Source organism: Homo sapiens, unplaced genomic scaffold (genome assembly GCF_000001405.40).
Source record: "Homo sapiens unplaced genomic scaffold, GRCh38.p14 Primary Assembly HSCHRUN_RANDOM_CTG11".
NCBI classification, from domain to species: Eukaryota; Metazoa; Chordata; class Mammalia; order Primates; family Hominidae; genus Homo; species Homo sapiens.
In genome coordinates, this window is record NT_167214.1 from 167 (window position 1) to 14,930 (window position 14,764).

Sequence of the window (14,764 nt, forward strand, 5' to 3'; positions counted from 1 at the left end):
ATTCTACACATCAAATAAAACATTTAGTGCCATACAAACGTCACCTAATAAGTGGGTGAAAGCTAGGCATGGTGTCTCATGCCTTTAATTCTACAACTTTAGGAGGCCAAGGCAGAACAATCACTTGAGGCCAAAAGTTTGAGACTAGCCATGAAAACATAGCAAGACCCTGTCTTGTATAGGGTTATATATATGCATACATACATACATATAACAAAAAAGAGTAAAAATATTTTCTAATCACATATTTGGTAGGTGTTAATTTTCAAAATATATAAATTCCTAAAACTCAACAACAAAAAAAGTTAATAACTTGATTTAGAATGGCACATGTTTGAAATGACTTTCTCCAAAGAAGACATAGAAATGACTAGGCATTTAAAAGGATACTCGAGAACTCTCTTCTAGAAAAATACAAAGAAAAGTCACAATAATCTATCACATCAAACTTATTTTTAAAATAGTATGAAAGCTCTTCAAAAAATTTAAAATGAGATTATTATACAATCCAGCAAACCCCATTCTGGCTATGTATTTAAAATATACAACACATGATCCGGAAGAGATATTTGCACACCCAAATTTATTGCAGCATTACTAACACAAGCCAAAAGACAGAAACAACCCAGCTGTCCCTTGACCAATGAAGAGATTAATAACAAGTGGCACATACACAAAGTCGAATATTATTCAGTCTTTAAAAAGTCACATTATATGATTATTCTTGAGAATATCACGTTAACTGAAATAAGCCAGGAACAAAGTGACAGTCTATGATTCCATTCATAATCAGGTATCTTAAGTAGACAAACTCATAGGAAAAAAAAAGTTAGAATGGTGTTAGTCAAGGACTGAAGAGATGGTAAAATGGGAAATTGTCTTAAAAGACATTTAATGTTAGTTTTGCAAGACATAGAAGTTCTACAGATCTTTTGCATAACTATGTGAATGTACTTAACGCTAATGAAATATACACTTAAAAAGAATTAAAATGGTAAATTTTACATTATGTGTTTTTACCACAATCGCAATTTTTAAAAGGAAAAATATGGACTTATAAAGCTTTCCAAAAATTAAATTTTGTTCACAAAAGATTTTCTCTCACACAAAGGAAGTATAGATTTATAATTAAACACATTGTGAAATTAAGATTATTTCAATGACTATTCATCCACACAAGATAAGACAACCACTGAAAATCAGCCAAAAAATATGGAAGATAAGCCATGAGCAAAGTTGGGGACATATTTATAGAGACAAACACATATATAATTTAATTTTGAAAACATATGACCGATTTATATTTTAATTAAACCCAACATTAGTTTCCTGAGTGAAATTTGGTTTTTAGTTTGGGCAAATGAAGAGCTTTCTGTGGTTAAAAGGATTCTTTCTTCTCCGTTTCTTCATATGGACCTGTGCTGGGGATTGGTCAGCTGTTCAAGTGCAATGCACTCAGTTTTGGTTCTGTGCCAGGATTAAACCTACGATATTTCACATTTCATATATAAACCCCGATGAAGTGTTTCTAGGAGATGGCTGCCTCATAACCTATATTTTGCCAAATGTTTACTATGAATTTCACCACCATCCTCTTGAAGGTGGTATTGTAACTAAAACTCTTCAGGACATTCTACTTAAAACTAAAATCACGTATATCTCAAGACACTCCTTTCTGATTTGAAATGCCTCTGTCATGTATTGTCTGCAATCAGCATCCTCTTTCAAAGAAAGTGGAAAGGACAGATGAGGAAACTGATAGTGTTACTGCATGGGAGACAGAGGTGAGGATACACATGGCGGATGAAAACATGGAAGTTATTTCTACAGCACGATCTTGTAAGTGTCTGACTGCTATGCTCCCTTGTATATCAAATGATGTACCTTTATTGCAAGAGAAGATAGTGCGCTGTTTACCTTGACATTGAGAGGCAATTTTGAATCTCTGTCGTGATTGCTTAGGACTGAGGATTTAATGTGCTATTTTGTGGAAATCTTAGAAGCAGTAATGGGATTTAATGATCTTAACTATCATCCATCTGAAAAATCTAACGCGATTTTAAATAAAATGGCCGGCTGCTTCCACCGTTCCCTTTTTAAACCAGGAGCTGCCGTTGCTTTTAACATTATGAAGTTGAATCTATGAATAGTTTGTACTATTAACATTTTTTTAAAAATCCACATTGACTTGAAGTGTACAGGCAGAGGTGGAAATTATAACATCCAAAGTTATAATACATAAGTAAAACCCAAAATAAAATCAACTGCTGCCCTGGAACCTATTCTAAATAATCGAGACAGTAATATGGAATTGTAAAGAAAAATAAGAAACATATTTACTCATAAAATCTTGCAAGCAAAGTTTTTTTCTTTTTTTGAGACAGAGTCTCACTCTGTCACCCAAGCTGAAGTGCAGTGGCGAGACGACGGCTCATTTCAACCTCCGCCTCCTGAGTTCAAACCATTCTCCTGCCTCAGCCTTCACTGAGATTACAAGCACCTGCTACCAGACCAGGCTACCTTGCATATAAACTTGATATATCATTTATGAAAATACTTTTTAGATAACTAAAATATTCTACTGTGACTGTGCATTCATGAAGTTCGTGTATCTTGAATCATTGGCATGCAGTGTGTGACAGTAAAATTTCACAGAAAATACACTGTAACCATTAATAAAAGGCCCTAATAAGAGAATTTTAATGCATAAGAATTGAAAAGACACCATAAATAATTTCCGTTGTATTTTTAATACACTGATGCTATTCTTACACAAAGTAAAAAGGCTGGGTAAGTTGTGGTGGCTCACATCTGTAATTCCAGCAATTTGGGAGGCCGAGGTAGCAGATTGCTTAAGCACAAGAGTTCACAACATGCCTGGGCAGGATAGGGAGACCCTGTCTCTGCAAATAATAATAAACAGCCAAGTGTGTTAATACACATTTGTGGTCCCATCTGCTCAGGAGGCTGAGACAGGAGAATTGCCTGAGCCTGAGTGGTCAAGGCTAGAGTGAGCTGTGATTATGCATTGCATTCCAGCCCAGGTGACACAGTGAGACCCTGTTTAAAGAAAAAAACAAACAAAAACTAAAAATTAACCAGGAGTAGTGGCATGCACCTGTACTCCCAGCTACTTCAGAAGCTGAAGTTAGAAAATCATTTGAGCCTGAGAGTTTGAGTCTGCAGTGAGCCATAATTGAGCTACTGAACTCCAGTCTGTGTGACAGAGCAAGGCCTTGTCATAGATAGATAGATGATAGATGATCGATAGATAGATAGATAGATGGAATACACCTGGAGAAAGAGTAAATTTTAATGTAGTGTGATGTAATTTTTAAAATAAACTTTATGTGTATCACTTAGAAATTTATAGAACAGGCCGGGGGCGGTGGCTCACGCCTCTAATCCCAGCACTCTGAGAAGACGAAGTGGGCAGATCAGGGGGCCGGATATCGAGACCAAGACCATCCTGGCTACCACGGTGAAACCCTGTCTCTACTAAAAATACAAAAAATTAGTCGGGTGTGGTGGCGGGCAACTCTAGTCCCAGCTACTCGGGAGGCTGAGGCAGGAGAATGGCGTGAAACCGGGAGGCAGAGCTTGCAGTGAGCCGAGATCGCGCCGCTGCACTCCAGCCTGGGCAACAGAGCGAGAGTCTGTCTCGAAAAAAAAAAAAGAAATTTATACAACTTAGCCAGAAGAATAAAAAACAACCTCTTAACAGTTTTTTCAAATAAAAAAAGTGAGTTTGAAGAGAAGGGAATAAAGGGGACTTTCATTTTAATGTGTTTTTATTTTTTGAGTCAGGGTCTCACTTTGTTGCCCACATGGAAGCGCAGTGGTGTGATTTCAGCTCACTGCAAACTTGGCCTCCCAGGCTCAAACAATCCTCCCACCTCAGCCTCCCTAGTAGCTGGGAATACAGGTGTACATCACCACAACTGGTTAATTTTTGTATTTTTGTAGAGAGAGGGTTTTACCATGTTGCTCACACTGGTCTTGAGCTTCTGGGCTCAAACAATTCACCTGCCTTGGGCTCCCAAAGTGCTGGGATTGAGCCACTAGGCCAACCAAGTTTTTTGTTTTGTTTTGTTTTTGAGATGAAGTCTCACTGTGTTGCCCAGGCTAGAGTGCAATGGCACGATCTTGGCTCACTGCACCATTTGCCTCCTGGGTTCAAGTGATTCTCCTGCCTCAGCCTAGTGGGTAGCTGGGATTATAGGCACCCGCCACCGAGACCAGCTAATTTTTGTATTTTTTAGCAGAGATGGGGTTCCACCATGTCAGCTAGGCTGGCCTCAAATTACTGACCTCATGATCCACCCACCTCGGCCTCACAAAGTGCTGAGATTGCAGGCATGAGTCACTGCTCCCAGAGACCAGCCAAGACTTTTACTTTATAAAGATATTTATGATGTTTTCTTTTCTTTTTACAGTATGTATTGCATTTATAATTGGAGATACAAAAAAAGGTGACTGTTACTGTTTGACAGCAAGGCAGTAGTATTATCTTCATCAATATTTGCAACTTCATTCACAGGAACCTGTAAGAGAAAGCCCAGACAAAACTTTAAGGCAAAGAAGTTACACTTGTAAAAAATGAGAGGACTATTTTTTTATAATAACAAATATTCCAGGTGAGGACTGGTCAGGATCTACCACTGCTCCATCTCACTTGATAAGTCTCATGCCTGCCAGGGTAAGAAGGAGCAGAGAGAAGGACAAATGCCACTGAGTTTCCTCTCCCACTAAGGATCTGTTTGTCAAGTTTCCTACCATCAAGTGGAAGATGTACTAAAAATAAAATGTACCCTTGCAGATGCTAGCAGAGAGGCACAAAATAGAAAAGGAGGTAAGCCCACACATTGTGGAGAAAGAGATCCAACTTAAGATTCAAAATGCACCAGAAAGCTGTGTAAAGTTAATAAAATTACTCAAAATCTTGGAACATTTGTTTCCTCACCTGTAAAATGGGGATCATGTGCCTACTTCATAAGTTGTTTTGACAGTTAAATTCACAGAGATATTTAATAGAGCCTGCTATGGCAAGTGTTCACATTAACAAAGTAGTATCAAACTTCAAAATATGGGAAAGGTATTTTGAATAATGTCTATGAGGCCAAGGACAACATGCCCAGCTTCATAATCAATCCCAGCCACATTACACTGAGGAGATCTACAGGGCAACTATATTTCTTCAACAAATTCCATTAGAGAGGAAGAGTGTGTAGTCTGAAAACATGACACAAATGTGACCAGTGTACAGTGACTTAGGTAGTCGGGGGTGGAGTCCCTACATATTCTCTGAATTGCAGTTACACAGTGAGTTCCCAGGAAACAAATGGAATAGAAAAGGTGACACAAAATATACTACCATAAATGGCGTGAGCATAGCAGGTTCACAACCACAAATGTAAGCAGGAGACTCAAATCACAAGGAGCACCTAGATCTGTGAACAGCAGCTTGTGGTGGCATCAGGTTCAACTTTCTGAGACCACCGGTGTGGGCAGTGTCTTTGCAGGCACATACTCGACAGCAGTGTATCTGAAGACAGATCTCAAGGCTCTTCTCTTCATTAATTATTAAGATGATAGATGATGGATACCCTCACGTTACAACATCCCCACTAACGCTGTGGACAAGTGAATTCAGAAACCCCCACCTAAATACACAGTGAAGAGTAGGATGAGAATACTGCAGGATAGGTTAGGAATGCAGGCATTCGACCCCATAGAGTCTATTTAAAATAAGAGAAGGGTCCTAGTATTGTGCTGTGGTCCTCCTATATATAGTTCTTTATTTTTCCAATTTCATAAAGGCCATACAGTTTTTCTTCCTTTCTTCACAAATGTGCTGATGAACCCATGAGTAATTCATCCTGAAGGGGTTAATTCCTCATAAAGTACAGTAACGTGATTCAATTGCTATGATGAGGTTTTTCAGGATTTTTTTATAGTGTCCCATACTCACCGATCACAAGTGAAATTTATAAGAACATGTAATTTGAACAAAGTATTCTTTTCACATAGAGAAATACACAGGTTTGTACAGATTAGATGCATCATCAAAGTTGGTAACATCTGGGAACAAAAGGAACTATCCTGAGGACATAAGGAACTTAGGAACGTCGATTATTAAGAGGCTACCTGCAAGTGGAACTTCTGGGTTTTCATTGTCTAGACAGAAAAATTTAACTGATAAGCCCCAGTATATTAAGGTACATCCCCAACGGCTGTGGGGGATCAACTTTCCATCCAAAGCAGAGATGTAAAACACGAATGACTTCAAATGCGGCTCAAGTGCTCTGCACCTTGAAAGTCATCCCCACAAAGCTGGAGCACCACCTGTTCCTGAGGGATGAGGTCACCAACTGCTTTTTTGAGACACTCGTCAGTCAGGACTCAGTTGAGATGAGGCTGGTGATTTCAACTGTAAAATATCTAAACCATCATCTTTAGGTAGATTCTTATGCCTGGGAATTGTGGTTTTCTCCTCTGCTGTTAGCAGATCCTGAGTAACCCAAGAAATACCCGCTCTCACCCGTCAAGTTCTATATCACAAGAAAGGCGCTGCAGACGGTGACATTTTCACGAAGGAGCCACAGCCCGCATCACCCCCTGAAAGCTCTGAAGTTGCGCACGGGTGGGTCACGCAGCAGGTGGATGTCTCAGTTCCCATAGAGTTTAGCAGAGCAGGCGGCTCCCTGGGCTGGAAGAGGTGCGATGCTCTGGAAACCCCCCGCGGGTGTGTATGTGAGAGGACACCGAGATGTTCAGCGGGCTGTTCAGTGAGGACCAGACCCCTCCGATTTGAGCAAGGGAGGTGCACTTCGCAGGGTCACACCGTCCTCATCGCCCAGCCTAGACCTGCCCCTCAAGTCCTTCTGCGGACTCCCTTGGCGAGGGGGTGGCACAGAATCAGCATGTGGCATCGCTTAGGAAAGGACGAGGTCCACACCGCCCTGTCCCTCCCTCCAGGGCTGCGCACCACGGGGGAGGACAGACAGCGCATGCTGGTTTTGTAGTTAGCAGGTCGGCGACCAATGGGCTGGAAACCGTTAAGACACCAAAACTCCCAGCACTCCTAGCTAGGGACGCGCCTCCCTATCCTTCGCTTCCATACTACACACCGCCCCCAAACCCAGCGCATGCTGAGATTGTAGTCCGTTAGCCTCGCGACCAATGGGCTGGAAATACTGAAAGGACTATGACTCCCAGGATGCCTTGCGAGGTACCCGCCGTCCCGATCCTTCCTCTAGGGCTGCGCACCGCCCCCAAGCCCAACGCATGCTGGGATTGTAGTCAGGTAATCCTGGGACCAACTGACTGGAAACTGTTAAGAGACCATAACTCCCAGCACGCCTGGCTAAGGACGCACCTCCCTATCCTTCCCTTCAGTGCTACACACCGCCTCGAAGCCCGGTGGCTGCTGGGATTTTAGTCTGCAGGCCGGGGGCCATCGCTGGAAACCATTAAGAGACCATAACTCCCAGCATCCCTGGCCAGGGACGCGCCTCTCTATCCTTCCCTCCAGCGTTACACACCGCCCCAATCCCGGTGCATGCTGGCATTGTAGTTCGGTAGCCTTGCGATCAACGTGCTGGAAACCGTTTAAGGACTATGACTCCCAGGACGCCTTGCGAGGGACCCACCCTGTTGACCCTTCCTCCAGGGCTGGGAACCTCCCTTAAGCCCAGCGCATGCTGGGATCATAGTCCGACTGCCGCGACAGAAAGGCTGTGAGTGGATCTGAGACTACAGTTCCAACACTACGGGGAAAATTTCATCTTCTCTGAGACTACAGTTCCAACACTGAGGGGATAATTTCATCTTCTCCTCCGCCCCTCCATGTTTCCAGTGCAATTCCGCCCTGCTGAGGGGAGCCTATCTGTTCCCAGACTTCTGCGTGCGAGGAGACAGCGTGGCCAGGGCAGGTGGTCTCACTTGTAATTGTGGCACAGTCTCCCCACGTGCCAGTTGTACGACTATTTGTGCCTGAAGTTTGATTTCTCTCTGACAAGACAGAACCCGGGAGCCTCCAACAGCCTGCCCAGCGTTGCCGTAACGCTTGCTCTCGGGGAGCTGGGCGCGCCCAGACCTTTGCAGGGCCCCTCCCTCAGCCCCGACCCTTCTCCTCGCCCCTCCCCTGCCACGCCCCTTTCGACATGCTGGAAAGTCATCTACCTTTAATAACAGTCATCTTTGCAAAAAAAAAAAAAAACTCTGAGAATAACCTATCTCCCATTCTATTTAGTATTTATTTCCATAGTATCCATAAATAGTAGCAATTAGATATCACAGCAAGTCAAGCAAAAGCCCTGCCTTGCCTGTTTCATAAACCACGATATGGCCTTGCTGTGGTTTTATTTGTATTTTGTTTTGTATTTATTGACCTTTTGGATATAAATATTTAGGTATTTGGACAGTTTTTGGAAGTATTCCGCTATTAGTTGTTGATTTACTTCTGTTCCCTATTTAATTTTTTTTTTGTCTCTCCCTTCTCCTTAGACTCAGTCATTCCACAGGTCTCGAGAGCTCTGTTCATTTCCTTTAAACTTTTTGTACTTTTTTTTTTCCAGACTGGATAATTTCTATTGCTGTGTCTTCTGTTTTAAATCTATGGCTAAACTCAAAAGATTTTTTTCATTTCCTTATCTATAATTTTTTTATATATATGTTCATTTCTCTGCTGAAGTTCCACATCTGTTTGTTTATGAATAGAATATTTTCTTTTTTCCCCATGAACATATTCATAAAAACTGCCTTCAAATTCTTGTCTGCTGATTGCAACATCCTGGGATAGCTTCTACTGCCTGCTTTTGATATTGTGTATGGATGACATTTTCACGTTTCTTTACAAGTCTTATGAATTTTAAAATTGTGCACTAGAAACTATAAATGATAATTATAGAATAGAAACTCTGGATTTTGCTGTTTTACCTTGAAGACTTTTGTTTTATAAACAGGGTTCACTGGGCTAGTGTCAAACCAATGCTTATGTCCGCTACAGTGGGTATAGCTGAAATCTTCATTCAGTTGTTAAACACACATATCATATATGTATTATGCATAGGCGTTTTTCTATAATAATATATTTTATTCAAGTTTCATCATTGTTATTTGTGAGAGTTCAACAAGCTAGTCCACACTTAGTGGAAGTCAGAACCTCAGTTTTATTTGATTGTAGCATTTTATATAAACAAAATTATATAGTATGTATACTTGTACATCTGTTTTCTTTATTTCCTTTTCTGTTTTCTTTCTTTCTTTCCTTTTCTGTCTTCTTTCTTTCTCTCTTTCTTTCCTTCTTTCTTTCTCTCTTCTTTTTTCTTTCTTTCTTTTCCCCAGGTTGGTGTGCAGTGGCATGATCTCACTGCAACCTCTGCCTACCAGGCTTAAGATATCCTTCCACTTCAGCCTTTTGAGTCACTGGGACCGCAGTCTTGCACCACCATGCCCGGCTAATTGTTTTGTATTTTTGGTAGAGACAGGGTTTCACTATGTTGCCCAAACTGGCATGTCTGCTTTCTTTTATGCAACATTACATTTGTGATATTCACCCACCAGTTGCAAATAGCTATAGTCTGTTCATTTTAGAAAGTAGTTTTTACCTTTTAGTAAAATATAAAAATACATGAAATTAACCATTTTATTATTTTTTTGTGTGCAGTTTAAAGAAATTAAATACATTCACATTGTTTTGCAACCATTGTCCAAGTTCATAAGGAACTGTTTTTCAATCTTTTAAAAGTGAAACTCTGTACCCAGTAAACAACACTCCCCTTCCATTGTCCTTTGTGTAGTCCCTGGAAACTACTCTTCTACTTCGTGTTTCTATGAACTTAACTGCTGTAAATATCTCATATGAGTGGAAAGAGACAATATAGCAAAAAAATCATGAGGAAGAATAATATATACTATATAACATATGTTTATCCATTTTAAGAAAAATGCTAGCAGAGATCAGGTCATGGTGATTATAGAGAAAGGTAGGTAACAGTGAAAAAGGGATTGGTTGCATTAAATTTACGACGTGATGCCTCAAGTGCCAGAGTAGTGAGCTTTCTGCCCCACTCGCAGGGCTGGTCAATGGTGTGGCTGGAACCCTACTTGAGCTGCCTGACTGCCAGAGCCCATGCTTAGTACAAACTTCAATGAGCCATGAAAGCAATTCCAACAACAGGCACTTAATGGCTCTGAGATTTTATCACAGCCTGTTCTTCATGGCTAGCAACTTCAGAGAAGAGTGACAGCTGTGAGGTTCCAGAAGCCACACCTCAGGTCCCCCAGTTCCTCCCCAGCAGCTGGAGTCCAGGTGCAACAGGACCTGATGCCGGCCAGGGAACCATGGCCACACGCTGTGTGAGGCTGGCGGCAAGACAGTCTCCCCTCCTACCCTCTGCTCATCTGCTAGGTCTTTGCCTTTTATTCTGATTGTGCTGCTCCAGGCTTGGAACAAAGCCCGAAATTCCTCTTGAGTCTGAAGATGATGATGGTTTCCAGCTGTGTGGAACTGCTGCATCTCCTGGAGGACTTTAATCTTCTGGAGACAGAGGGAAAGACAGGATGCTGACAGGGCCTGGGTGAAAGACTCTGTAGGGGCCTTATAAAAGAAGGGAGGAGGGCTGGTCTCTGAGGTGTTTCTTTTAAGGGGCTCTCACCTCCCCTCCAATATCATGCAGCCCTAACTGGTTCTCAGAGTTGAATGTAAACGGCCCTTCCTCTAGGAAGTTGTCATCAACTTCACTCCCCTGATTGCACCCTGCATTAGGATAGGTCTCCTCCTTCTCTGTGTATTACTCCCTTTCAATAAATCTTAGATGCGGAAGAAGGGACCAGGGAATGTCCTGCCCAGGGTGATTTCTCATTTCCACCTCCACCCTCCCTCAAAGTGAGGACTTCAGCTACTGCTCACCTTTCTGTTTTTCTGGGTTTTGATCACATTTCTCTGGAAGACAGAAAGCCAAAGACCATCAGAAAGGTCCGCTGGTTCATAACTAGCCTCCATTTCCAGCGATTTCCAAGCTTCACCACCACCAGAGCCACCAGGGTCAGGGAATGTGCACAAAAGAGGTCTTGCAGCTCTGCAGCTTCACTACTCAGGGAGTGGGACTGATGGCTGCTGTGGAGCCTCCATCACTCATGAGTAAAATACCCTGTATACGGGATGGGGAGGGCTGCGAGGCCCTCGCAAAAAATTTTGGCAAGGACTGAGATCTAGGAGCTCAGTTCAAGACTCTCTTCTCCCAGGCCTCAGGATCCTGGTCCCTGACCTGTCTGCTCCAGGCTCACTCACATCCACACACTCCTTCATGGCAATGTCCAGCATCACCACATCAGTGAGGAATGTCCCCAGAGAGGGCATGACTTGGGAGGTGCCCACCCAAGTCCTGTCCGCTGAACTCTTATAAACCCCTGCCTCCTGGCGCCCTCTACCTAGGTTACCCACTTGGAGTAGCTGAGAACCCTCAGCTGCCTTTTCCCAATTCTCTATGTCTTCCCATTAGCTGGCCTCTATTGCCACCAACCTCACCATAATTACCTCCTTGGTGGGATTTTAACAAGCCACAAGGTCATGTGGTCCCTGGCTCCACCTGTTTTAAAAGCCACACGGAGCCCAGCTCTCCCAGGCCTTGCTCTGGTCTGTCTAATGAAGGTGTTTTAGGCACTGCAGCCCCAGGAGAAAAGGGCTGGAGTAGAAAGGCCCTCTGCTTTTTTGATTTGGAGGTTTCCAGCTGGGAGAAGTAAGCTCTGTTCTCTGAAACCCTGGAGCCCTTCCCCATCACAGGCACATTCACCTTCTGCTGTCACAGCCTCACCTAAGCTCTCTGGGGCTCCGCTACAGGGTAGACAACTTGTACGGTGTTCACCTGCTAGGATGAGGGACAAGGTCAGTGAAAATATGCTTCTTTCAGTTACGCCTCAGCCACACTAACCTTGGACACGGATAAGTGGCCTGAGTCAGCTTGTCCAATGCTCTGACCATCTCCAGTGAGCTCTGACTCTAGACTCACTCCCAGGTCCAACACTCCCTGGATGTGTCATTTTGGGCATGCAGTCGGGTTTCCCTGAGCTGTTTCCTCAACTGGAAAGTGTGGTGGGAACCAACTACCTCACAAGGCCTCTTACCACCTCGGTTTCATGTGGTTGTCATGATTGCTGTCACCATCATCCCTCTCAGGATGAGCCAGACACAAGCACCCTCAGATTCTCTGTCTCCCTGAGCCCCATCACCACCTTGTGAGGCCTGCCCAACAGGCTCATCATTCCTAAATTTTCCACATAAGAAAACAGAGGCCCAAAGCGGCAATGACATGCCAAGGACCCCACAAGAGAGGCCAGCTCCTCCCTCAACCTGGAGGGACTGTCCCGGCTGCCTTCACCTAACACCCTAGCATCATCACTGACCAGCATTCCATCTTCTAAACTCTATGAGTGACAATATTCCCAGCCAGGCCCTGTGGCAGTGGACATGGTTCTGAGAATTGGGAATCTAATGTGGAGGAAAAGTTAAATATTTAATATGAACTCAATTGAACATGGGCACAAACAATGGTCACGAAGTCCTGGAACAGGTTGCATGAGCCCCTTGAGGTGTTCATCCAGCGCTGTTTCAGAGAAATCTTTCAATCCATTCCTATACATTAGTTATTGAAAAAACAACAGACAATTGCAAAAACAAGTTGATCTTTTGTGTTCCTTGAGCCCAGTTGTGAAGGGCACCTGTGACTGCGCCTCATGCCAAACAACACATTACAAAAAGAGCTAGGGTCCCAGACTGTGCTGAAGTTTCATGAGACCTCTCCTCATCTGTGCATGGACACGTGGCTGACTCTGGAGCCCAGGCTGTTGCTTCCCAGTCTGGTAATGAATCCTCCATAGTCTGGTGCGTGTAAATATACATATATATATTTTCTTTCTGTCCTTCCCATTGCAATTTGCTTATTATATTATTTGCTTATCAAGTCTGTATTGCCATACACTTGGGATAAAGGCTATTTATCCTTAAAACTATTGTGGGTGCCTTTTCTTTTCCCCTCGTTCATTTCCCGCACCGGAGCCCAGGTGATGGAATCTCGAAGTGACCTCACTTCCTTAGTTACAATCTCAAAGAAAGTTTAGAACTCTGGTAACCTGGAGCCCTAATTCTAGAGACAGCTTTGTATTTACTAAGGAGACTCTGAAGACAGCAAGATGTTCTCCTGCTATGTCTTGAATTTCTGAGGCTCTCATCTCAGGAAGGCTTGAACAGAGAGACTTTTTTTTATGATGGAGACAGTGCTCATTCTGCACTGCTGGCTCTTCTGGCCATTTGGAAAGGGTTACCCATAGATAACACAAGGCCACCCATGGCAGGCCTATCCAGGCCAGGCCTCACCTTTGATATCATCTCGGCAGGCACACACCCCTCCTCATCTCCACGTCTCGTGGGAAAGAAAGAGATAATGGGTCCTTTCTTGACAGGAGCAGGTTTCCAGGTATTGGGAGGCTAAAAGCCTGTCAAATTTATACCGCAGGTTACAGTTGGCAGGAGGGGAAGGTGAGTGCTGGGGGTCACCTTTGTTTGTTCAGACATTTATTCTAAGGCTTCAAGCTGTCCTCTTGTTTTCTCCCTGGCTGGAGGTCTGCGCAAATGCTCCTATGTGCCTGATCTGGGGAGTAGACTTTCTAACTGGAATTTCCCCTGTGGGGAAAGCCAGGATGCCATTGATGCCTCTTGGCCAGGCTTCCAGGCACTCTCTTTGCAGAACTCTATTGAGGAGATCCCTGAGGAGCTGTTTGATGAGTCCAACTACTCCATCTCATTGAACAAAAGGCAGGTGCATCATGCCAACAACCATGGCCCGTGCTAGTCTGGAGTCAAGGTGGGCACAGAGAGGTCTCCAAATGGAAAAGACCAGGGAAGCCCAGGACCCTGACCCAAATGTGAGGATTCCCCAGAAACCGTTTTAGGGCTTTCTCCATTAAGGACCCACAGTTCCTTCCCAGAGGAATTTGGCCTCCATTAGTCCATAATGGCAACTTAGGTGCACAGTCCCCGGTCATATGCTTGCAGGAATGTCAAAAGAAACACTTTTGTGTTGTTATTACTTTACATTAAGTTGTGAGTATCTTTGCATGTTGCTATTATTTTTATTGTTATATCTACCCACCCCACATACTTCCTGGAGCAGGCAGCTTCGCTGCCTTGCCAGACCTTCTCTAAGTCTTAGAAGTTCACACTGTTACTAGAGAGAGAGGTTTCACCCAAAAAGTGGGAGTTATGCAAAAGGGTCTTATATGACTCTTTACATATGTATCCCAGAGCCCACCTCTATAACCCCATCAGGACAGGAGCTGTGTCCTCATATGTCTTTATAAGATTCCATAAGTGGGGCCTTTCCCTCAGTAATTTAGGCTTTTAATACTGGTGGAGCCTGACACAATAAATTCTATTTCCACTTCAGCCATGCTACAGGGAATATCTTTTTTTTTTTTTTTTTTTTTTTTTTGAGACGGAGTCTCGCTCTGTCGCCCAGGTGGGAGTGCAGTGGTGCAGTCTCGGCTCACTGCACTCTGCCTCCTGGGTTCACGCCATCTTCCTGCTTCAGCCTCCTGAGTAGCTGGGACTACAGGCGCCTGTCACCACGCCCGGCTAATTTTTTTTCTCTGTGTGTGTGTGGTTTTTTTTTTAGTAGAGACAGAGTTTCACCGTGTTAGCTAGGATGGTCTCGATCTCCTGACCTCGTGATCCACTCGCCTCGGCCTCCCAAAGTGCTAGGAT

General features: G+C 43.5%; 1 long non-coding RNA gene across 1 annotated transcript; it reads right to left on the reverse strand.

Moving 5' to 3' along the window:
* Window positions 1-4,390: 4,390 nt before the first annotated feature.
* On the reverse strand, window positions 4,391-9,226 carry LOC100507395 (uncharacterized). The gene is made up of 2 exons (XR_950600.3): window positions 5,375-9,226; window positions 4,391-4,544 (listed from the first exon to the last, which is right to left on the reverse strand). It is a non-coding gene; the product is annotated as an uncharacterized LOC100507395 (long non-coding RNA).
* Between the last annotated feature and the right edge of the window lie 5,538 nt (window positions 9,227-14,764).